General features: G+C 37.0%; 1 protein-coding gene across 23 annotated transcripts in view, besides 2 other annotated features; it reads left to right on the top strand.

The window, feature by feature from the left end:
* Nucleotides 1,760-1,889: an enhancer, noted in NCBI's record as "active region_5419". NCBI's record gives its function as "activates an Ori minimal core promoter by ATAC-STARR-seq in GM12878 lymphoblastoid cells {active_cell/tissue: GM12878}" and the evidence as "EXISTENCE:reporter gene assay evidence [ECO:0000049][PMID:35858748]".
* Nucleotides 1,950-1,999: an enhancer, noted in NCBI's record as "active region_5418". NCBI's record gives its function as "activates an Ori minimal core promoter by ATAC-STARR-seq in GM12878 lymphoblastoid cells {active_cell/tissue: GM12878}" and the evidence as "EXISTENCE:reporter gene assay evidence [ECO:0000049][PMID:35858748]".
* Nucleotides 1,977-25,462, top strand: part of MTMR2 (myotubularin related protein 2) — a 91,228-nt gene continuing 67,742 nt past the window's right edge. For 10 of the 23 annotated variants that reach the window (NM_001440635.1, NM_001440649.1, NM_001440647.1 and 7 more), the window contains exon 1: nt 1,977-2,209. Coding sequence is in view for 6 of the 23 variants with exons in the window: in NM_001440649.1 (NP_001427578.1) it covers nt 2,130-2,209 (80 nt within the window). In the remaining 17 variants the exon portion in view is untranslated. The other 13 variants (NM_201281.3, NM_201278.3, NM_001440639.1 and 10 more) reach the window with 7 other exon arrangements.

The raw sequence follows: 25,462 nt of genomic DNA, 5'->3' as shown, positions 1-25,462 counted from the left end.
CATACCCTCCTGTATACTTTAAATCAACTCTAGATTACTTATAATATCTAATACAATGTAAATGTTATGTAAATAGTTGTTATACTGTATTGTCTTCTATTTGTATTATTTTGTTTTTTACAATTTTTACAAATTTTTCAATCTGTGGTTGGTTGAATCTGAGGATATGGAACCAACTGTGATTAATTTTTCTTATATTTTAAAAAAGTTTTGGTTGGTGATGGTTTGAAAATTAAAAACAAAACACTGTTCCTTCTTGCAGATAGTTTGAGAAAAAACAGCCCAGATTATAAATTGAAAAATTAATAACTTTTGGTGAGGTCCCAAGTTAACCATGTTTTTTCATTTTCTTAGAGTTCATTAATTAATTAGAGTTCACTAATTAATTTCCAGCTGATATTCTTTGCTTGTGTTTTCACTCTGAGAAGTTACCATTTTACCAGTCAGGTTAGAAGTCAAGCAGTAAGTTCAGTGGAAAAACAAGTAATAATAAATCTACTTAGTGAGACCGTACTGTGCAACCGACTCTGCACAGAGAAAAACAACCTATTACGTAGATATTTTTATTCCCATTTTATTCCCATTTTAGAGATGTGAAACAACTTAACCACAGCACAGAGCAAGTGTAGAGACAGAACCGGGATTCCGATGAAGATCTGTCTGGTTCCAAAGTCTCTACACTTTTACTACACTGTTCTTTATTAATCACTAGATAGAACCATACACATATTGTTACATCAGGCAGAAGGTTTCGAGGGTTCTATTAACAAAGTGCTACGAATGAACTGGGTGGAAGAAAGTACATAGGTCTCCCATTCAAGGGTTCATCAGCCTTCACTAAGGAAATTTAAGTCAAAGTAGCTGACAGTGAGTCAGCATTTTGGAAGGCAGGTAGAGATGGTGAAGAAATAAGGAAATTCTTCTATGAGTCATGATAGATATTTAAGCTTGTTAAAAAATGTTTTTGACTACCTACTCCCTTTGCCTACAGAGTCCAGTTAAGGTATCTTAAAAATTATGGAAATAAAAACAATCGGTCGCTGTCTGTCCTCGCCAAACTCAAAAAAGGCTAAGCCTTTTGTGCTTAAACACATACTCATCAGTAACTATTCTACCTTACACTGAACATAACTAAGCTAGGTTGTTCTTCTTGGGAATGTACTTGCAAGTTAATACTGCACTGCAACTATAAGGTTTTTTAAAAGACATCAGTTGTACATTATAAATTAAATCTAGTTTAAATCAATATAATTCAATTTATCCTAGCAAGGAAGTTTTTTAAGGATGGTCTGATTTTTTTTTTACAGGAATAATCTTTGCATAATTTTACACCCCATACATGAGATGATTAGGATTCAATCTCAATCAGAAAAATCCCTTTATGGTGTCCTTATGGCTTTCCTGTATCCTAACAGAAAAATCCTAGCAGAAGCATTTCCCCTTTACCCAGTTCCTGTTCTCTTATCACAGTTCTATTCCTCCACACTCCCTTCCTGCTAGGCACGGGAATTTGAAAGGGCAGGGAAAAATCGGTGAAAGTTTGTCTTCTACTTGGGTAATCCAACACCACCGCATCCAGTAGTATATAATTCTTTTTGCATGTATATCAGATCCTCCCCAATCCCTCTCCCATACCTCTTTCTCACTTTTCTCTCATTATCCGGTCCTCTTGTTTTCCTTGACCCCCACATTCCTGTCTAAATCATCCTCCTGGCCTCAGGTCCTTATCGCCTTCCTGAGACCCTCATGTTTAGTGTTCCCTCATTCCTCTTACACCTAGGATTTCTCCTCCTTCCATAAGGGTCTGGTCCTTCATCCCTCCCGCTTCACCAGACCCCCTCACCCTGGGAGCCGCCACCTCCCTTTCCCCAAGACCAGATGTCGCGCGGCCGGACACAGCCAGCACGGAGAGTCGATGCCGGCGTCTGAGCTGCGCAGTGGGGTCTTCCCGCTGCCCAGCAGCCTACAGGCGCGGTGCACTCTGGGGGAACATGGCCGCTTCCGGTCTCCCTCCCGGGCCGGCGCTGGCCTGACTGCGGCCCCGGTCCGTAGCACTCCGCCCTCCGCTTCTCCCGCCCTGTAGCCGCGAAGACTGCTTCAGCCTTTCCCTGTGCTGCCCCTGCCGCGCGATGGAGAAGAGCTCGAGCTGCGAGAGTCTTGGCTCCCAGCCGGCGGCGGCTCGGCCGCCCAGCGTGGACTCCTTGTCCAGGTAACCAGGACGCCCAGGGCCCCGCCCAGCGTCCGAAGGGGATGGAGAGGGGCCGGGGACCTGCTGGATTGTTGCCCCAATTCGCGGATTCTGGTTTCTGAAGGCTACGCCGGAATTCCTTCCCCGGGACTTGGGAACCACTTCTGCCTCCCTCCCTGGGGCGTGGAGGCTGAGGAAAAGGAGGTTAAAACTCGCTGCTTCTTTATCGATTCCTCTACCTTTCATATTCCGATCTCGTTTTCTCCCCGATGGAGGTGGTCCCAGTTAATTACTTTCTCCTGTCTTTCATTCCCTCTCAAACCTTTTTTAAGACAGTTCCCCCCGCCCCCATTCTTTTCCCCACATTTCCTGTCTTTCTCTGTCACTTTTTCCAAAACCATCCTAAAGTCAGTCTTTCCTCCTCCACCCCTTCTTATGTCTTTGGTTTTTGGGTTCTTGCCCAGCCCTTTTCTCTCTTTTCATGGCTTCACCTTCTTAATTTCTTTCATGCTTTTCTCTACACTCTGATTTTCTTCTCGCCTCCCTTTTTGCTTAAATATGTAAATAAAAATGTCTCCTGTGCTTCTCTTTTCTAAATCTTCCAGCTGAAAGTCAGTATCAAGGAATCTGAGTGGTTTTTATCCCCAGTGATAGGTTTAAGAAAACAAAATGAGTGGTAGTTTTCTTCCTTCTTGGGCTACTGGTTCTCCACGTTGTCATTTCTCTTGTAACAGATGGGAATTTTATCCTGGAATTTTGAGGAGGACTTTATGCAGCTTTGCAGAGAGCTTTTATGAATATTAACTAGACGCGTTTTGGATGCAGTCTTTTTCTTTGATTTTAAAATAATGATTTAAAAATTTTTTAAAAAATAATATAAGACCTGTATTTGCTTTTTATGCAGCCACGATGAAATCTGGTTCTTTTCCACTGAATAATAGTCTAATTGTTATTAGAGAGTGATTCGATAACTGCTGTGTGAAAACACACAATTTTCATTTTCTCCTTCAATCAGTTGAAGTGGCTCTATTATAATTCATTTTGGATTCTGCTAAATATGGGTAGTTATTGCCTTTTTTCCTGTTGATGTTCAGCACCTCACTGGGGAACCACTGTCTGATCCCGTCATTCTACATTGCCATATGCACTCATAGCTCCCTGCACAGTCGTTTTTCAGAGTCTTTAATAAGCACACTATAATTGTTGGCTTAAAGTGCCTTTTCTACCAGGTTATAAGCTATTATACTTGAGGGCAATCTTAATCATCTTCATATCTCCAGCACTTAACATAGTCTCAGCATGTGATAGGTGCTCACTAAATGGTTTTTTTTTTTTCGAATTTGTAGCCTGAATTATCCAGGAAAGGAGGATTTTTCTTTGCAGTTTGATTATATATATTGCACGTTTGAATCAAGTATTTTTTGAATTCTGTATTTATTGCTTTGAAATTTGGAAAGCTGAGGATTAACATGTTCAGTTGTGTAATTCATTCAGAAAACAGGTTGGAAAATTCGAATTTTATGGGAAAGTTACAAATGACAACTATGCCTCAGAATAGCATAAGAGGCAACCAGTACTCTCATCCAAGGCAGAGAAGTTAGAACCACATGAAGCAGCACAGTATGTTAGAAAGAAGGAAGTACTGGAAGTTAGGAAGCTCCCATGCTGAAGTCTCTGGCTGAGCTAGCTCTTTGGTCTTTTCATTTAGACTTTCTAGTCTACAGTTTTCTCATCTTTTAAAATAAGAAGCTTGATCTAGAAAATCTGTAAGGTCCCTTGGAACTCTAACATTGTCATTTTTAAAATTTTAATGACAATACTAAGATGAATGCATTGATATTAATTTTAAAGATAATTCCTTTGCAAATAACCTTTGTTTTGGATTTTTGCAATTACACGAAATAAGTGTCCTTTATTATTACAAACTAATATACCTAACGGTGCCACTTGAACATATTTATTTCCTAAAACAGAAAGCCCAGCAAGTATAAAGATTATATATGTATATGAACTTCTCTATAAAAAATTATGTTACTGACAAATTTGAGAAAATTAAGTACTCCTCGAGAGAATTGTGATATAGTAGATTAGCCTAATCCTCTCTGGACAAAAATATAAGTATGATTCCTATTTTCCATAAGAGAATGCCAGCTTTCATTACTCTCCTCTGGAAGGTAGAAAAGTAACATTTACTTAATGTCTACTGTATGGAAGTTTCCCTGCTAAATTCTATGTATCTTTTATTTCATTAATCATCATACCTGTTTGTGGCACTCTCCTTAATCAACAGTATGTAATAGATACATTATAGACACTAGTTAGAAAGCTTAATTTTAAACAATCTAGGCTAACACTTCATCGCAGGTGACTCTAATACATTGCCAGTGTGGCCTGCTTTGGTCTCATAGCTATGTTAAGTGTCTATCTAGATTGTTTAAGTTATTTCTTTTGTTTCATTAGCCTTTGACAAAGCAAAATTATTGCTGTTTGGCCTATATTATCTCAGTTTTTGCAGAAATGATTCCCTTAAATTGTAGTTTATTTTTATGCTTTCTGTTTTTATACAGAGGCCTAATTGGGAAACTGCCTTTGGAATTTGTTTTGATATCTCTGGCAGAATAATAGTTAATATTGTTAAATGTGTCACAGAATGTTTTTCACACATGCATTAACATAAATTTCTGCTGAGTTTAGCTACAAAGAAAATTATTTATAGAAAAAATTATGTATGCTCCTTGTTTGTTAGTAAGTGGTAACTATATAACTGCGTCTTTCTCTTTAGCTTAGTAAAACTTTAGTCAAATTTATATCTGAAGGTGGTAATATACTCATCTCTAATTTCTTTAAGTACTTTTATTATTACATGAACTCAAGTTAAATATTATGTGTTATGTTTAAATGTATTGATTAGATGTCTGAAGCCCTTTTGGGAAGTAGGAAGGATGATACACTAATCCATGTGGTTGCCCATTGTTTTTTGAAAATGACATACTTGGCCGAGTGCCATGGCTCATGCCTGTAATCTCAGCACTTGGGAGGCCAAGGTGGGAGGATCACTTGAGCCTAGGGGTTTGAGACCAGCCTGGGCAACATAGTGAGGCCCCATCTCTAAAAAAGAAAGACTTTTTAAAATAAGTAAAAATATTTTAAAAAATGAAAATGACATACTCCATTGAAGTTGGATTACAGGCTGTTGTGCAATCTGTAGTTCACAATAAACATGTGATGAGTCTTACTAAGTATCTGTAGTCATTTCAGAGTTCTCTTGTCTCCAGTTATGCCTTCTAGGTCATCATAGATCTGATGCTTTTGCCCACAAAAGGGCAATTTCATTCTTCATATGATATCCAGGTAGTAGTTTCCTAACCAGCTATAGTTATGTCATCCTGCATCTTTAAAAAAAAAAAAAAAAAAGTAATCGTCAGCTGGGCGTGGTGGCACGCACCTGTAACCCTAACTACTTGGGAGGCTGAGGTACCAGAATTACTTGAACCTGGGAGGCCAAGGTTGCAGTGAGCCAAGAACGCACCACTGCACTCCAGAGTGGGCAATAGAGTGAGACTCCATCTCAAACAAAAACAAAAAAAACAATAGTTGTCTTTGGTGAGTCCTGCTTAATATTGCCATACTTCAGTAAACTGTTCAGCAACTCTTGTATATCTTGCTGTTGGCCATTCTTCATGTATATCTATCCCCACAGAAAGAGAGAGGGAGTTGTGGAAAACTTCACTTTAGCATCCTAATAATCTAGTTATATTCTGTAATTTTACTTTTGTTGGGTGTGCTCTGATTCTTGATATAAGTATGACTTTATAAGATATAGGTAAAATAATACTGTAGGTCAGATGTGATAATAAGAGTAGGCTTGAGTCTCAGAACTGTAATGAGTTACACAGCAGAATTTGACATTATATTGGTAATAATCTGCCATCTTAGTCTGGTTTTCCATTTTTCAGTTTATACACTATTATAAAATGCACTGCTTTAGTGGGTTTCTTTGATTAGTTTGTATTGTGCATAATCAAATGGTAAGATATCTAGTGCCGAATAGGTGCTGAGTGAACATCTAAATAAAAGAATGTTGACGGAATGTTCACCACTGGTCTTGTTTGTTGTTCCCATTCAAAGGATTAAAAAGGATTCCTTCTGTTGAATTTGGCCTGAACACTTGCAATTTCAGGTCTAAGCTGAAGTTATTTTTATGGGAGACTGGACATCTTGAGCTGATTTTACTGTTCTGTGCCCAGTCCTACACACAATGAGGTTATTATGTCCTCTTCAACTACCTATTTATCCATCTGCTACTCTTGATTACTTTTGCCCCTTTTGCTCTAACTTGTGTTGTTAGTCGTTTTAATTAATGTGTGTTCTTGTCATCCTTCATATAACCTCAGGCTTTAGTTATTCTGGGTACCATACTTGTTTATCCCAGATTATTTGGTTTTATCAATTTGTAGTATATAATTTCATTAGCATTGATGAGCATCTTATATTTACATTTAACTTCCATTAAAAAAATCAAAGGGGGGGTACACATACTCAAAGTAGTTCTCAACTAATTGCATTTATAAATTGCATGCCTGCCTTAAAATTATCATCATTTGAAAACAGGAATTCCTAGATTTCTGTTTCCATGGATTTTGATTATACTTATAGCCTGAAGAAGTAGAGGAGTTTCCTAGATTTCTAAAACACATTTTGTTGCAAGGTCTCATCTTTAGTTTTAGCCTCAAGGTCACTTAAGAGTGACGTGTTGGAGGCCAGGTGCAGTAGCTAACGCCTGTAATCCTAGCAGTTTAGGAGGCTGAACAGTTTGGGATTGCTTGAGTCCAGAAATTCCAGACCAGCCAGGGTCACATGGCAGAACACTGTCTCTGCAAAAAATAAAAAGTTAGCTGGGCATGGTAGTGCATGCCTGTAGTCCCAGATACTTGGGAGGCTGGTGTGAGAGGATCACCTGAGCCTGGGAACGTTGAGGCTGCAGTGGGTTGTGATAGTGCCACTGTATTCTGGCCTGGGCAAGACAGTGAGACCCCGTCTCAAGAAAAAAAAGTGATATGTTGGTAGGAAATATGCTTTTATGTTGTTTTTCTAGTAGTGGTGATGGATTTGTGTACAATCACACATTTTTACCCATTCCCTTTGTCACTCTTGGCATGTCTGCTGAGACAGCTGGCAAGATTAGAGGTAGAAATTATAGCTGTAAAACAGAGTAAAGCTACCAGATTGAACCTACAACCTTGGCATTATTAGTAGTACCTTGTATCAAACATTGAACATATTAGACTAAAAATTACTTATTTGGATTTCATTACTTAAAAACCCTCAAAGATCTAAGTTCTCTTAGATAAGAAACAATATTGGTCTGACATAGTAATTATGTAGCTTTTCAGAAAGCACATATTTGAAGAATGCAAGTTGATAGTGAACCTGAGACTGGGTCCCGTATATATCTGTATTTTTCCTTTTTATGCTATTATCAATAATTTCCTATTAGTGTAGACCAGTAGTTCTCAAAGTTTGGTCTCCAGGCCAGTAGCATCAGTATCTCTTTGGGATTTGTTAAAAATGCAAATTCTTGGGCCCTACCTTGGACCTAACTGAATTAACATTTTAGGGGTGGAGCCCAGCTGTTGGTGTTTTAGCAAGCTTTCCAGGTGATCCCGATGGATGCTGAAGTTTGAGAACCACTGCCTTGGATCTTTTGCTAATTGGTGCCTTTTGTAATGCAATCAACATTAGTTAAAACTAAGTTAAGGTCTATGTTAGAAGTACTGTAAAACTATTACTTGAGAGCATTTTTGTAAAAATGTTGACTAAAGTAGTAAAAGGTAAAAGTCATCTCTTGTCGATTTATTAGATTTGATTTCTAGGAAATTTCCTAAGGCATTTTTCTTTGAGTAACATAAAACAAGAATATGCGTTTTAGGCTTTTTCTTAAAAATAGATTCTTAGTGAGAAAGATTAGTGGAAACAAGCATTTTTAAAAAAAGTACAGTTGACCCTCGAACCACATGGGTGTGAACTGTTCAGATCCACTTTTATGTGGATTTTCTTCTGCTTCTGCCACCCCTGACACAGCAAGACCAACCCCTCCTTTTCCTCCTCAGCATGTGCAACATGATGAGGGTAACAAACTTTATGATGACCCACTTCCACTTAATGGGTAGTAAATGTATTTTCTTTTCTTTGTGATTGTCTTAATAACATTTTTTTTCATTGTTAGAGTTCAGTATATTGGCGTGCAGCCTGAAATATGTTTTGATGGGCTGTTTATGTTATCCGTAAAGCTTCCAGTCAACAGTAGTCTATTAATAGTTAAGTCTGGGGAGTAGTTTGGGGAGTCAAAATTATATGCGGATTTTCAGCTGCGTTGAAGGTCAGCACCCCAACTCCTGTGTTGTTCAAGGGTCAACTGTATTATGAACAAGTAATTCCAGGAGGCCATCACCTGAACCTGTAAAGTTTGGATTATGCCCAGGGGAAGGAGATAACCTGGATACAGATGACCAGAAAGCAGTAAGTTTATTTTGGAAAGCTGCCAAGTTAATGCTATTGTATTCAAAATCATCAGAGCCAAAGATTGCGTGCGATTCAGGATTTGAGTAATGGAAATTCTCCAGATTTTAGTGTGGAATATTTTTCCTTTGTAAGGAAGATGGTTTTGAATATGTAAAGTACTTGCTATCTTTGTGTCTACTGTTTGATTTAGTTAAATCGGTAGATAATAATTAAACACTATTAGAGGTGATAGTCAAGGATAGGGAGTGATTTTAAAAACCTGCTTTCCACAGGAAGTCAAATTAAAAATGGAACTGTATAAAAAGATAAAGTTGGTACTAGATTATTAAAATAAAAAGGACTAGGGAAGATGCCTTCTTGAAAATAATAACTTCAGTTCCCTTTCCTGTAGCTTTATTATGCAAAGCTAATTGTGCCTGTCCCTCCTAATATGTTTCTATATAGGTACCAATGTTGTCATTAATACAAACTGTTAATAAGCAAGCTTCATAATTCTTCCCTTCCCCAAGTACATAGGACCTATGGCCATAATCACTGGTGAATATTTATTCTTTCAAAGACTCTTACTTTGTGTGAATAACTCTTGGGCTCTTTAAATATTTTTAGTCTAGAGTAAATAAGAGCAAATGCTGTGTATTAAATATATTAAAAATTACCTGTAAAATATATTTTAATTAAAAATTTAAACACTGTTATTTGGAAAATTCTTTTTTTTTTTTAAGTTCTACTTTAGGTTTAGCAGCACATAACAAAATACAAACTGACAGTGGCTTAATATAGGAGATGCTAAATTTTTTTCCACATGAAAGCCTGGAGATAGTCAATACAGATCTAATATGGTGGATCTGAAGTATCAAGGACCCAGATTGTCTTACATTCCAGGGTTACCTCATGAACCAAAATTATTGTTGGAACTCCAGCTATTATATCTTCAGGAGGAAGGGAAGAAGAGGAGCATACTCTCTCTCTTTGAAGGATACTTTTTTGGCAGTCACATGTCATTTTTTTTAACTTACATCCAGTTGGCTAAAACATGGATGGTCCCATGGCCATACGTAGGTAAACAAGAGGCTGGGATAGGCAGTCTCATCTGTGAGGCCTTTGTGCTGAGCTAAATTTGGAGGTTCTGTCACTGAGGAATAGGAGAGAATGGGTATTGGAGTCATAGCAGCTTTTCCCCTTGGGTACAGATGAATCATTTAAAAGAAAGACATTTTCCACCTAAAGTCTGCAATATTTCACTTATGCCAGAGACACCCTTAGAGCTGCAAATGCGATGACCAAAATAGAAAACACACTGAAAGAGAGGAGGTAATACATTGCTGCAGACCAAAAAAGAGAATTGTATCTTGGAGCACTCTGAACTCTTGAGTTTAGCTTTCTATTTTTTTGTGTCTTGTCTTGGGTCAGATTTTTATAATCCTAATCTGGAACCATAAAATGAAAGTGGTACATTTAATATTGACAAGATCATTAAGTGATGGGGAAACAGAAATCAAAGGAAGAATGGATTGCCGTGCTATATTGTATTTCACTTGAAGAGCTCAAGGAATTGCACGGTAAAGTAGTAGTGGTAATGAAGTTGATGGCCTACTCTGCTTACTTCCAATTTGACATCCATTTCCAAGCCATGTATCCATGTATTTTATCCTCTTCTAGAATGTTGCATCGGGTTCTACTTAGGTATTTTCTCTCATTTCAGTTGTAAGGATGTGGTTTCCATAAGGGAAATAAATAAAGCTGACCATTTTAATTTATGAATGCTTTTGCCAATATTCAGTTTGTTTTTATATCTTTGACCTAAACATTTTATTAAAAATGCGGAGACATCTGTGTCTTATATATTCTTTTGTCACCTAACTTAAATATTAATATTTTAAGCATATAATTTCAAACATAAGGAGTTTATAATTTGGATGTGAATAGAAGAGCATATGTATATAAGTCTCCTTTGGATTGATAAAACATTTATTCATCAGGCTCTGAGGATTTAATAGACATTAAGTCAGAAACATATCCATTTCTCTTCTCGGCAGAATTGCTTTTACTGATAGCAGCAAATGAGCAGTTGCTGAGGTAGGGAGGAGGCCTTGTCTGGAGGTTATGCATTAGCAAAAGGGAAAATAACTGGCTGATGATGGGCTGGTGATTACAAGCCTTAATATTCTTGAGCGAGCCAAGAAGCCCAGCAAAGTTCAAAAATAAAATTTTGTTCTCTGTTCTCTGTTACCAATATTAGATAACAACATTCTTTTATCATAACCAAAGGCATTGCCTCAAAATAGCAACACTGAAAACAAGCCTTGCTTTCCTAGTGGTAGACAGTTATAGTAATAATAATGTTAATATTAAACACAACAATAATATAAATAGCACAACATTTATTGCATGCTTACTATGCTGGGCATGGTGCTACATTTCTTCTATGCATTTTCTCATATAATCCTCATAACTGTATAAAGTAGAGAGTGTTAATGTTTCCATTTTACAGAGAAGAAAACGGAAGATTAGAGAGGGTACCTTGACATGTGAATTCAAGTCCATTTGACTTCAGGGTCTGTGTGCTCTAAAGAACACACATGCCTGAAGATCTAGTGCCCCAGGTGCAGACCAAAGCTTTGTAGTTAGAGGGCAGTCCCAGGGCAGGTTGATTGGGTGGTAGTGATAAGGACATGAGTTTCCTTGACCTGCTATTTTGCTGGAGAAGGATAAAGATACAGTATACATTCACCAAGTGAGAGTTTGTATTTGGAGAGAATTTTACCTTTGAATTTTGTTTGCCTTCTGACAGAAAATAGGATGTTTTTTTTTCTTTGCCTGAGATTAAGAGGATAGTATCATTTCATTCATTACCTGATGATTAAGAGGGTAGTATCGGTAGTATCATTTCATTCAAAAGAACAGTTTTACATTTTGAAGATCATGTAAAGTATGAAGCAAGTAATTGCCAAAGCCTCCTCCCCACCACTCCCTGCCCTGCAGGCTTTGCACAATGATTTAGAATATTTTAGGGTTCCTTAAATTTCTGAATTCCCCTAAGTTCCTTTGTGTTTATTTACAGTTAATGTGTTAAGAGCCATTGACATTTGAAGATCATCAGAAGTGAAGATAAAACATCTCAAAAATTATAATGTAAGTGAATGGGAAAATGCAGATATAAAAATGGACAAAAGTTAATATTGCCAACAGTATTTCTGGATTATATATTATCCCAAATGAAATTTGCACTTATGAGTAACAAGTAGTTTCAAACTTCAGTTCCATTTCCAAGTCCCTGTCCTTAAAATTCTGTGTTCTCTTCTACTTGGGGAAAGCAGTCACTAAGTTTTAGTCATCCAGTTATTTTCCATTAGAATTCTTTTGGCATCCATGTTCTGTTTTCTTCCTTTTCCTCCTTAGCAATTTGCAGTTTGACTTGAGAAGAGGATGACAAGAATTCATGTTATATGCAAAATGTTATAGATACTAAGGTCTTTGCTTTCCAGCTATTGATGTGTGTTGTGTATGTTATTCAAGTGTAATTTTACTACTGTTTTGTATGTTTCTTAGCCAAAAATATGACCAGTTAGTTAGCCGCCTTCCTTCCCCCTCTTTCTCTATTCTTTCTTTTTTTCCCCTCCTCTTTCCCTTCCTTTCTTTCTGCAAATAATTGTTTAACATCTACTGTGCCTTACACACTGTGCTAGATTCTGAATTCCTAAAAGCTTGGTGCTGAAATGAATTATATCATCTTTTCACACTCTTAGAGGGATTAGAGATCAACCAATTAGTGTTTTTCAACTGTGGCTGAGGACCACCTATGTATTTCAGTCAACTGTGAACTTGGTGAACATTTAACTTCCTAGGTTTCAGCGTGGACATTCTGAATCATTGAGGTGACGTTAGGAATCGGCATTTAACAGTTGAAGAACCACCCATCCAAATGCTGTTGGATGCTAGTCTAGTTCCAAAAGTTTTCAGATGTGGAAATAGATCTAGAGAACTCTAATAATTTACCCCAAAGCACAATAAATGTTAGAGGGCCAGGAAAGGTTGTGGTTTTCCTCTGAGGTCATAGAGCTATTTAGTGTCAGAGATGATCTCCTAATTCCCAGTTCTAGACTTTACCATGTAGCATCATGATTTTTTTGCAGGGCCATATAACTTCACTGTATTTCCTGTCTATAGAACCCTCTGCTTATAGGATGTATAAGATTATAACCAATCCATCACTGTTCCTGAAAAAAATAAGAGGACATATGGGTTATGTAAATGAAAAACATACTGTTTCTTCATTTTTAGTCAGATATGTGACTCATTCTGGTTTTGAAATCATTGGATAGACTTGGTGAAGGAAAGAAAAAACTTTTTTTTGTATCCATGATATTATTTCTACCTGGATTTAAGTTTCATGCTTACGAAAATGAGGATCTGATTTCATTTTTTGAGTGAAATAGTAGGTACAAATTTTATAGTGTTTTGCAAATAGTAGGTGCTTGATAAGCTATACTATGAACAGTTTACTGTTAAAACTTTTCTTCATTTGTATTCTGTGAAGTACGCTAGTTAGGAGTGATTTTATTTGCTTCATACAGAATCTGATGCTTTATATACCAAGCCAGAAACTTTAAATAATTGAAATAATTTTATTGTATTTATAATACTATATTTTATAGTTGATATTCACAAGATCTCTGAGGGACTGAAATTTATAAAGTATTTTTGAACTATAAGAGTTTGAATTCGTTTTAGTATTGTGTATATTTTATATTGTATTATGTATGGTATATTGATAGTTACTGATTTGTAACTTTATATGAGTAAATCTCGTTATCTTAATTTTGGAAATACTCTGTAATTCTCAAATTACTAGAGAGTTTAATGATGCAATGCCTTTTTTTAATATTTCAAGACATTTTTATTCTATGATTTTTAAAAAACGTCATTTTAAAATAGCCTATTGATTTCTAAAAAATTATTATATTTTTCAATTATAAATTTTCTTTTCATTAAAAACTTTTTTGTTCTTTTCATAACCATGGAAACAAGATTGTACTTATAAGAGCTCTAGAAAGGAACCTTATCTATTATGTGGTTTTCTAGTTTATGATTTCTAACAACTAATCTGGTAAATAGGGAAGAGTATTCAAAATTAGGGAGAGATATCCTTGGCAGGCATGGATCACTGAGTACTGTCAGTATTTTGATTTTTAGCTTAACCTTTCTGGACTACAAAGAGAAAGATGTTGAATGCTCTACCTTTCCTACTGAGAGTTTTAACTTAGTAACTGAAAAAAAAAAAAAAAACCCACCTGTGTTAACTTCATTTATATGACTTTGAAGTTTGTGCAGAAAAGTTGTATCTCATTACATTGAAAGGGTAGTGAAAGATTAATTGTATAATAAACAGTTTTGCTTGTCTTGGAAAAACAAAATATATCTATCTGGATAGCAAAAATAATGGATATATGACTTTCTAATTTGAATAATGAATTCAGGTTTGCAAGGTGGAGTGAGAAAATTACATGACAGATCATTTTTCAAGACATAAATTTCCCTGTTTTCTATACTTGTCCAAGTAAGTGTTTGTTGAGCAAGTGTTTAGGGAATAGATCACCTTCTCTCTTTTAGTGTTTTTGCCTGTATACTTTAGTTTGGGATGGAAGGGTTAATTTCAGAGCTCTAATAATCTGACCAGTTTTCAGTTTAGTTTGATTCTTCTCTCAGTTAAGTGATATTTAAATAACTTTTTCCCTCTTGGCTACTTATGAATCTGTGTGTTTTCATTTGAGCTGTCATCTGAATTTGAATCGGAGGTTTTTGAAGAGATTCTGAGAAGCTCCTTAAACGGGGTGCTGAGGCTGTGAGATTGGTGCTGGAACTCAAGGTCCTTCCTGCCCTCCAGTCCTCACCCCTGTCTCCCAGGGACACATTCATTTTCCGCAGAATACTTTGGCTTTCACCTCTTTATTTATTTAAATTTCCCAATAAGTTCTTTGAAGAAACAATACTCTGGAGAAAAAACAGACATATGTAAATTATTTTCTATACAAACTGGTTGTTCAGACTCTGCTGCATTATGAAATCATATGCCTGTGTTATATTTTGGGAAATGTAATTAATAGACCTGGAAATAAATTGATAACTGTGTCCAGGGTCACATGTACCTTAGAACCTTGGGATTTTCCAAACTAAGTGCCAACATGCACCAGTTGGAAGGCTGTCCCAGAGCTCAAATCTCCTTTGTTTCTCGGAAGAATACAACATGTTGTCTCTTATTTCTGTCAATCAGATGCCATGATGATCATTTATATAATCGTTTTTATCTTATGAATTGGCTAAGTTTAATGCAGGGTTCTGGCACAGCATTTTTAAACATAATTAAAAATTATAAATTAATTTGTTTTGGGGGGGTTGTTTTTCTGTTTTGAGGATCCTGCAAATATTCTGACAATAAGTCTTTTGTGTCTCAAATGTTTTATACACACTGCAGGCCTTTTATTATTTTTTTTAAATAAAATCTTCAACAGAATGACTAATAGAGCATGAACAGTGCTTATGATACTATAGTGCATTGTGTTAAGTATTGAGAGCAAAATTTGCGTTCCTAGAAAAGCTTGTTCACAATCAGAATATAGAAGGCATGCTTTAATGTTCTTGGGCAAACATGCTGTGTATGTGCTCAGGACATTACTTACAAGAAAATCACTTTTTAAAAAGAACCTTTTCTTTTTACGGAATATTGAAGAAAAATTGAATTGGCAGCAAGAGTGAAACAGTTAAAGGCAAGTGGTTTAGATCTTATTGTAATGACTATGGTCAGTAGAAATGCAGCCTCTCCTAAATCTTCTAGAGGCATTTGTTTACTAGGATATATGAAAAGATAGATGACTTGAAGTTTCCAGGTTGTTTTCACTTTAGAGTATATACTCTAAAGTGTATATACTCTTTATATGTTTGTTCATCTGCATCTTTAATTTTCAGAAATACTTTTTCAATTTTATAAAAAATATTTTTGTTAAATTATAAATATTAGATTCTGTTCATTGCTGTGAAGTACCTTCAGGTGTTGCTGTGATTGACAATAAAGTAATGATAATTCCATTAACACTCGGCCAAACCAGTGGAGCCAGAAAGGGTCAATACTTTTCTAACGGTTACATTGAAAAATACTGGTGGTGAAATTGGTTTTGTGATTGAAGTTTTGGGTCTGTCTTCTGATTGACTATATAAAAAATCATGTAGGGTGTGTGTGTGTGTGTGTGTGCGTGCATGCGTGCGTGTGTGTGTGTGTGTTTATATTTAAAAAAATTTCTCCCCAATATTTGTGCTTTGTATTATGTGATTCATCAGTTAACTAAAACTTGTAAGTTTAAAAGTATGTATATTCAATTTTCCTAGTGCACATGAAGACATTTTACATTATAGAGCTGAATGAAAAGTACTTTTAGGGCCTAGTGCTTTGCTTAATTTTAATTTAATTAGTGGATGCCTTCTTAAAAGTAGACTTCCTATTCTCTTCTTGTATTTCCACAATGCTATTTGTTGAACACTTTCTACCAGTTCAGTACTTAACACTAAGTACTTTCTATAGATCTTGCTTTTTGATCCTTATTAAAATATTTTGATCCTTATTGCAAGATTTTATAATGCATCATTATCATTTTATAAATAGAGAACTCTATCCCCAGTATTTAGTACATTGATGATATCAGTAAATGTTTGTGGAATGGAGGGGAGGTTAAAAAAAAACAAAATAAAGGAGATTTAGGAAGTTCCTGCTCTAGAGAGGACAGGAGGGAAGATGGCTGAGGCCTTTAGTTAGAGGTGGAAGACCTCAGTCTCCATCCTTCCGAGGAAGCTAAGTTGGTGTTTTGAGGTGTGGAATATTTGGATGTGATCAGTGAACCCCTGCTATCTGGAGACAGATTTTTCTGCCTTTGCAGCATTAAAAGGGATTCTTATAAGTCCAGAGTTTGAGTCAGAATATGCTTCTGTAGTAGGTACCAAACTTCATTTGTTTAGACATAATCTTAATTTGAAAGTTTCTTAGGAATATTTGTAACTAAAAACAAAATCTACATGAAACAACAGCAAAAAAATAAGTGAAGAGTGCTTTGTCTTATTTATTGATTCTATTTTGAAAAGCATATAGAGAGTAATTTTCCCCCCCCACCAATAATGTTTGTATAACTTTGTTCACCTAAATGCTACACTTTGAAATAGTAGAACTTTTGAGACCAAAAGAGTGGATCATTGCTTTTAAGAATAGTGTAACAAAGGAAAAAAACCCTTTGTTATAATAACAGCAGAGAAAAAAATGTGTGGGAATGACTAAGAATCAGATGATGGGATTACTGTTTTGATCTTATGGTGGAAAGAAAACTCTCTGGCTGAGATGGTGGCAGGACTATTAGAAAACCAAGGCAGACTAGTGCTGTACTATATTATTCTGTTGCTATAAACCTAAGTCTTATTATTTCATAGGCATGTGTATATGTATATATTCCAGAGTGCTGGCTATACTCTGATAAGTTTTGTTGTTTTTGAGAAAATATTTTCTTTATCACCACTTCATTCATTTCTAAGGGTTCCAGTTTCAATCTACGTATAGATAACCCCCTCACAGCACCATTAATTGAATAGAGTCCTTTCCCCAATGCTTGCATTTGTCAGCTTTGTCAGATCAGATGATTGTAGGAAGGCAGCATTATTTCTGGGCTCTCTATTCTGTTCCATTGGTCTGTGTGTCTGTTGTTTTTGTACCAGTATCATGCTGTTTTCGTTATTGTAGCCTTGTAGTATAGTTTGAAGTTGGGCAATGTGATGCCTCCAGATTTGTTCTTTTTGTTTAGAATTGCTGTGGCTATTCGGGCTTCTTTTTGGTTCCAGATGAATTTTAGAATAGTTTTTTTCTAATTTTGTGAAGAATATCATTGGTAATTTGGTAGGAATCACACTGAATCTGTAAATTGCTTAGGGTAGTATAATCATTTTAACAATATTGATTCTTCCTATCCATGAGCATGGAATGTGTTTCAATTTGCTTGCATCGTCTTTGATTTCTTTCAGTAGTGTTTTGTAATTCTTATTGTAGAGATCTTTCACTTTCCTGGTTACCTGTATTCCTAGGTATTTTTTTTATAGGTATTGTGAATGGGATCGCATTCTTGATTTGGCACTCAGCTTGAATTTTGTTCGTGTATAGAAATACTACTGACTTTCATACATTGATTTTGTATCCTGAAACTTTGCTGAAGTTGTTTATCAGATCTAGTAGCTTTTGGGCAGAGACTGTTGGGTTTACTAGGTATGAAATATATCATCTGTAAACAGATAGTTTGACTTCCTGTTTTTTATTTGGATGCTTTTATTTCTTTCTCTTGCCTGATTGCTCTTGCTAGGACTTACAGTGTTATGTTGAATATGAGTGATGACAGTGGGCATTCTTGTCTTTTTCTGTTTCTTAAGGGGAATACTTCCAGCTTTTACCCATTCAGTGTGATGTTGGCTGTAGCTCTCACTATTTTGAGGTATGTTCCTTCAATGCCTAGTTTGTGGAAGGTTTTTAACATGAAGCGTTATTGAATTTTATCAAAAGCCTTTTCTGCATCTGTCGAGATGATCATATGGTTTATATTTTCAGTCTGTTTATGTAATGAATCACAATTAAGTGATTTGTGCACATTGAACCAGCCTTGCATCCCGGGGAGAAAGCCTCCTTGATCATTGTGGATTAGCTTTTTGATGCACTGCTTGATTCGATTTGCTACTATTTTGTTAAGGATTTTTGCAGCTATGTTCATCAGGAATATTTGTCTGAAGTTTTCTTTTTTCGTTGTCTGTCTGCCAGGCTTTTGTATCAGAGTGATGCTGGCCTCAGAATGAGTTAGGGAGTCCTTCCTCCTCATTTTTTTGGGGGGAATAGTTTCCATAGGAATGGCACCAGATCTTCTTTATGCATCTAGTAGAATTTGTCTGTGAATCCATCTGGTCCTGGGCTTTTTCTAGTTGTTAGGCTTTTTATTATTGATTCAATTTTGGAACTTGGAATTAGTCTCTTCAGGTTTTCACTTTCTTCCTGGTTCAGTCTTGGAAGGTTGTATGTTTCCAGGAATTTTCTATTTCTTGTAGGTTTTCTAGTTTGTGTCTATAGAGGTATTCATAGTAGTCACTGAGGATTTTTTTGTATTTCTTTGGGGTTGGTGGTAATGCCCCCTTTGTCATTTCTGATTGTGTTTATTTGAAGCTCCTCTGTTTTTCTTTATTAGTCTAGCTAGTGGTCTATCTACCTTAATTATTCTTTCAAAGAACCAACTTCCACTTTCCTTGATCTTTTGTATGTTTTTTGTGTGTCTCAATTTCATTCAGTTCAGCTCTGATTTTGGTTATTTCTTCTGCTAGCTTTGGGGTTGGTTTGCTCTTGGTTCCCTAGTTCCCCTGGGTGTGATGTTGGGTTGTCAATTTGAGTTCCTTCTCATTTTTCGATATGGGGATTTAAACTTAACTCTTAACACTGCTTTAGCGATGTCTCATAGATTCTAGTATGTTGTATCTTTGTTCTCATTAGTTTTAAATAATTTCTTGATTTCTGTCTTAATTTCATTGTTTATTCAGGAGCAAGTTGTTAAATTACCATGTAATTGTATGGTTTTGAGTGATCTTCTTAGTATTGATTTCTATTTTTATTGCACTGTGATCCAAGAGTATGGTTGATATGAATTTGGTTTCTTTAAATTTGTTGAGCATTGTTTTATGGCTGATTGTGTTGTCGATTTTAGAGTATGTGCCATGTGCATATGAGAAGAATGTTGTTTTTGGGTGGAGAGTTCTGTAGATGAATGTAAAGTCTGTTTGATCAAGTGTTGAGTTTAGCTCTTGAATATCTTCGTTAGTTTCTTGCCTCAATGATCTAATATTGTCAGTGGGGTGTTGAAGTCTCTCACTATTATTGTGTGGTTATCTAAGTCTCTTTGTAGGTCTCTAAGAACTTGTTTTATGAACCTAGGTGAGCTCCTGTGTTGGATGCATATATATTTAGGATAGTTGAGTCTTCTTGTTGAATTGAATCCTTTACCCATTTTATAATGGGTATAATAATATAATGCCCTTCTTTGTCTCATTTGATCATTGTTGGTTTAAAGTCTGTTTTGTTTGTTTGTTTGTTTTTGAGACAGAGTCTCGCTGTATTGCCTAGGCTGGAGTGTAATGGCACTATCTCGGCTCACTGCAACCTCTGCCTCCTGGGTTCAAGGGATTCTCGTGCCTCAGCCTCCTGAATAACTAAGATTACAGGCGTGTGCCACCACACCTGGCTAACTTTTGTATTTTTAGTGGAGACAAGGTTTTGCCATGTTGGCCTGGCTGGTCTCAAACTCCTGGCTTCAAGTGATCCACCTGCCTCAGCCTCCGGAAGTGCTGGTATTACAGGCGGAACCACGATGCCTGGCCAAGTCTGTTTCATCTGAAATTAGGATAGCAAACCATAGTTTTTTTTTTTGTTTTCCATTTGCTTGGTAGGTTTTTCTCTATCCCTTTACTTTGAGCCTATATATTATCTCCTTATTTTAGTGTGAATATATCTGGCCTACTATTTTTATTGCTGTTGTTTTTAATATAGTGGATATGTTGTAAATGCTGATCTCTAAAAGAGTTCTGATTTTAGTTTAGAAAGATTTCTTGGTAAACAAATATTTATTGAGTCTGTGTATTTCACCAAACTAGAAAACATAAATTTGCTTGAAAACATTAGCAAAGAACCAGTTTTTAATAGGTATGAATTAAAGATGAATGTGCTGAGGGAGGCGTATATCCAGGAAGAGTGGGAATAATCTAGAAAGTCTTCCTGAGAAAATTACTTTTGTTTCTTAGCCCCGTACATATTTGTTTTTTGCTCTAAATTTATGTCTTATGCATTTTAACAGTAACTTCATTTTCTGCATTTTAGCACTGTTGTCAATTACAGGATGCCGGTCCCCTTTCCCCAGCCTGCATTTTTGTTTTTAAGCAGTGGTATGTGTTGTGTTGTGTGTGTGTGTGTGTGTGTGTGTGTGTGTGTGTGTGCGCAGGTGCGTGCGTGTGTGTGTAAGAATATCACACTTTAGACGGTATTTTCACATCAGAGAACTGTGAGGCTGGATGAGATCATTAAGGAGAGGAGGAGTACGTAGAGAAGATAAGTTCAAGGGCAGAGTGAGTTTAGGGGCACTCCAGTGTTATGAGGTTAAGGAGGTGAGATGGAACCATTACAGGAGACCTGAGAGGATTGGCTAGGGAATAGGAGAAAAACCGTAAGAGTATAGAGTTCTGGAAGTCAAGTGTGGAAAGTGTTTCAAGGAGGAAGGTGTGATCAACTATGTTAAATGCTGCTGATAGATGAGGAGGAAGTATTAACAGGTTTAGCAAAGTGGAGATTATTGATGACCTTGACAAAAGCATTTTTGTTGGTGTGGTGGAGGCAAAGGCCTGACTGAAGTGGATTTAGGAAAGAATGAGAAGTGAGGAATTGGAAGCACTGCATATATATTACCGGAAAGGGGTCCTGATCCAGACCCCAAGAGAGGGTTCTTAGATCTTGCTCAAGAAAGAATTCGGGGTGAGTCCATAGAGTAAAGTGAAAGCAAGTTTATTAAGTAAAGGAATAAAGAATAGCTACCTACTCCATAGGCAGAGCAGCCCCAAGGGCTGTGGCTTGCCCATTTTTATGGTTATTTCTTGATTATATACTAAACAAGGGGTGGATTATTCATGATTGCCATGGTACTTGAGGGAGTGTAGCAGTAAGGACAACCAAAGGTCACCTCCGTCACTATCTTGGTTTTGGTGGGATTTGGCTGGCTTCTTTACCGCATGCTGTTTTATCAGCAAGGTCTTTAAGACCCCTGTCTTGTGCCGACCTCTTATCTCATCCTGTGATTTAGAATGCCTTAATCTCCTGGGAATGCAGCCCAGCAGGTTTCAGCCTTATTTTACCCAGCCCCTATTCAAGATGGAGTTGCTCTGGTTCAAACACCTCTGACATATAGACATCTCTTTCAGTGAATTTTGCTATAAAGAAGCTCAGAGAAATGAAGCACTATTTGGAGGGATTAAGATGAGAGAAATAATACTTTGTTTCTATGCTGATTAGCGAGATTGAGTAGAGAGGGAAAATTTTATGATGCAGTAACTGGAGGAGAGAATTGCTGGAGAGATTTTCTTGTGTAAACAAGAGGAGATAGAGTTTAATGAGGGATTTTGTTTGTTTGTTTTTTGTTTTTTTAAGATGGACTCTTGCTCTGTCACCCAGGCTGGAGTACAGTGGTCTTGGCAAGATCAAGTGCAGTGATCTTGGCCCACTGCAACCTCCACCTCCCGGGTTCAAGTGATTCTCCTGCCTCAGCCTCCTGAGTAGCTGGGACTACAGTCGTGTGCCACCACGCCTGGCTAATTTTTTTGTATTTTTAGTAGAGACGAGGTTTCACCATCTTAGCCAGGGTAGTGTCAATCTCCTGACCTCGTGATCCGCCTGCCTCAGCCTTTTAATGTGCTAGGATTACAGGCATGAGCCACCATGCCTGGCCTAATGAGGGGTATTTAATGGCAATATGGATGATTTCTCCATAGTAAGAGAAAGCAAGGCAGAATATATGTGCACAGTGCACACAGGTTATAGTTGGAGAGCTTGTGGAAAATCTGTGTTTGGTTCTGTATTTTTGAGTGAAACAGGAAGTTAGAGCATCTAGGAAATTCAGGGTGGAGAGGATGATACAGGGTGAAGAAAGCAAAGAAAATATGAAATAGTAATCTAGCAGAATGAGAGAGTGTATGAACTAGAGAAATGTTGTGTAATATCTAGGCAGTATTAAGGGTCTAGTTGAGGTAAGCGGCCATGAATTCAAAATGAGTCCACGCTCTGTGGTGGTGTTTTTTTTCTGTCAACTCGTTCAACTGTGTGGGTATGGTCTGGAATAGTCAGAAAGTTGGCTTTAAGCAGCTTTCCGTGTTGACAAGTAAGTACTATGAAGTAAGCAAGGGCAAGGGAACGACTGTAATAACAGGCATGGAGTTTTAAAAGCTGGGAAAAGCGAGAAGTGAGAACATGAAATAGGTACTCTGGAGTGTAGTAGGAACAGTGGAGGTTTTGGTGAAATTGAACAATTCGAAGTGTTGGTTGGGGGTACTAGAGAAAAAGAGCTGATGGTCAGACAGTAGAGTGTTTGAAATTTAAATTAGGGAGTGATTGCAGTTAATTGGTAATGCCAGTCCGGAGGATATGATCATTGAGGTGAATGGCTGAGGTAGAATGGAAGACAAGATCATTGCGGAAGAGGAATTCGATTAACTGAATGGCCAAGGTGTTTAAATGCTCATTTATGTAAATTGGAATCAGTAAGAATTACAGCAGTTGGCAGCACTGGAAAGAATTATGGTAAGCCTGAAGCTAAAGTCTTAAGGAGTGAGAGAGAGTGACTTAGAGACAGGCAAATGATGTCAACAAAGAGGGTGGTACATGCTGTAGTCTGATGGCATGAGGTTGAATACTTGGGGTTTTTAGAGACAGAGAGGTAGAAGAATCTGAAAGTGGCAGTGAGGGACAAGGCCCAGTTTTCAGGCCTAGTGGTGGGAGAGGAATATTGGAGAGAAAATAAAAGGGCTTATTTTTCTGTCTGAGAAGGCTGTTGGGGAACAGTGTCCTCAGGTAAAAACTAGGCTTTAGTAAGCATAAAAGGTAAAAAGACCCTTTAAGAAGAGCTAGAGATAAAGGTCATTTTGGTGATGGCTAACCTTAAAATTCAGAAACAGAGGAATAGGGAGTGAATGGGAGGTAGAATGAGAAGGGGGATTAGAATCTGGTAGTTCTGACTACTTGTGAGAACTGTTGAAAATAGAGGTAAAAGTATAATGATGTTAGCCCTTACAGTTTTTAATGTGGATAGTTGTAAGACTGTCCATGTTAAAATGCAAATGATGTTGAAGGGAGGAAAGGGTAAGGTTGTGCAAGGGACACTCACAATCTGGGGCTTCCACTTCACTTTTGCTAATGGTATTGGAGAGGCTGACAGAGAGATGGAAGGACAGACAGTCTTACTTCCTCAGAGCACATGGATTTCCAATGCCCTTTTTAAACTCTTGCTGATGGAGGCTGGGGGATAAGGAAATGGGTTGGCCTGTCTGGAGCACAAGGAGCTGAATAAATAACCAATTATATGATATACCATCGCCATTTTACATAGAAAGAAACTGAGATTCAGAGAGGTAGAACACCCTGCCCATGGTCACATGGCTACTAAGTAGTAGGGTAAAAGAAAACGAAGCAGTCTTTGTGGATGAGGAGTCAAGGAACAGTAAGATTCTATGAGATAATATCATATTGCCATGAACTCTTATCTTCATTTACTATCAGATCTTATAATATCACATGGATTCATACTGAATTCTAAGTGGGGGATTAGATTACCAATCCATCTTTCTCATGTGGAATGCATTCCTTGTTTTTTGTTGTCCAAAAACTTTAAAAATATTTATGGGAAATAGGCTTAAAGATACTTACTGTCTCTGTAGTTCATTCTTAACCTGTTTCCAAATCCAGTTAAGCTTTATCTGCTCCAAGGAGCATTCCCTTATTGGTCTCAACTGAACTTCATCCTCATGCATTGAGTTTATATAATAAAAATAAATATTGGGGTATACGTTTGTGTTATAGCTCCCCAGTTAGATAATAAGCACTTTGAGGGCATTTCTCCTTTTAGTTCTGTACTCCTTATCAGAAGCAATATGAGTTAGTCAAAAGGAGATCCAATTCTGTATCTGCTTCTCTCTCTCTCTCTGGCTGTGCCACTAATTTGATACTATATTCCAAACCATTTACTTCACTTCTCTGGGCGATACTTTATCTATAAATAAGGGGAGGGATGGGGTTTCACTAGAATGATCTCAGAAATCCCTTACATTTTTAATATTCTATAACTTTCTGATTGGCTGTGAGAATAGTTGGCTACTAATGCAGTACTTGCATGTGAAAGGGACAGTTTTAAAAAATATTTGGTATAATTCTAGGTACTGTATAGCTTAGTGTCCTTGAAAGGTGTTGGCAGTAGCCAAGCAGGATCAGAGTGAGAAATAAGGCTGGAGAGAGAGTGTGGGGCCAGATAGTCAAATGCTTTGACTAGTAGTGGGTATTTGTGAATGTGGGACTGAGAAGATTAAAGATAGAAGGTTGAAAATCATTTGCACAGAGATGGTAACTGAAGATGTGGGAATTCATGATATTTCAGAGAGAAATTAAGAAGAGAGAACAGAGGCAAGGTGAGAGCTTTCAAGAGAATCTATATTTAGGGGACAACTAGAAGAAATAACTTAGAAAAGGAGAGAGTCAAAGCAAAGCTAGTAAATTTTAATGACAAGGGAAGCTTAGAGAGCAAAGAATTCCAGGAGGGAGGTAGTGATGATAGCATCAAATAATGCACAGAGGTTAAGGAAGGTGAGAACTCAGAGAAACAAGGCCCCTGGTTTTGTTCCTGAGGTCATTAATGACATCTAGAAAACAGCATCAGTAGAGTAGTTGAAGGTAGAGTTCAATTTGAGTGTTATTAATGATTCTCATGTAGATTCAGGTAATCAATATTGAGTTCCTACTAAATGTCTGGTATTGTGTAAGTTTATGCATGTGAGTGTGTGTGCGTGCACACGCACATGCACACACACACACCTCTCCCAAAGTAGACTGGATGGGGCAGAATGATGTGCATGAGAGGAAGGATTGGCTTTGAACCTAAAAAAAAAAAATGTTAT

The sequence above is a fragment of the Homo sapiens genome, chromosome 11 (genome assembly GCF_000001405.40).
Source record: "Homo sapiens chromosome 11, GRCh38.p14 Primary Assembly".
NCBI lineage: Eukaryota > Metazoa > Chordata > Mammalia > Primates > Hominidae > Homo > Homo sapiens.
The sequence above is the reverse complement of the archived record's forward strand: the minus strand, read 5'-3'. Positions and strand labels throughout refer to the sequence as shown.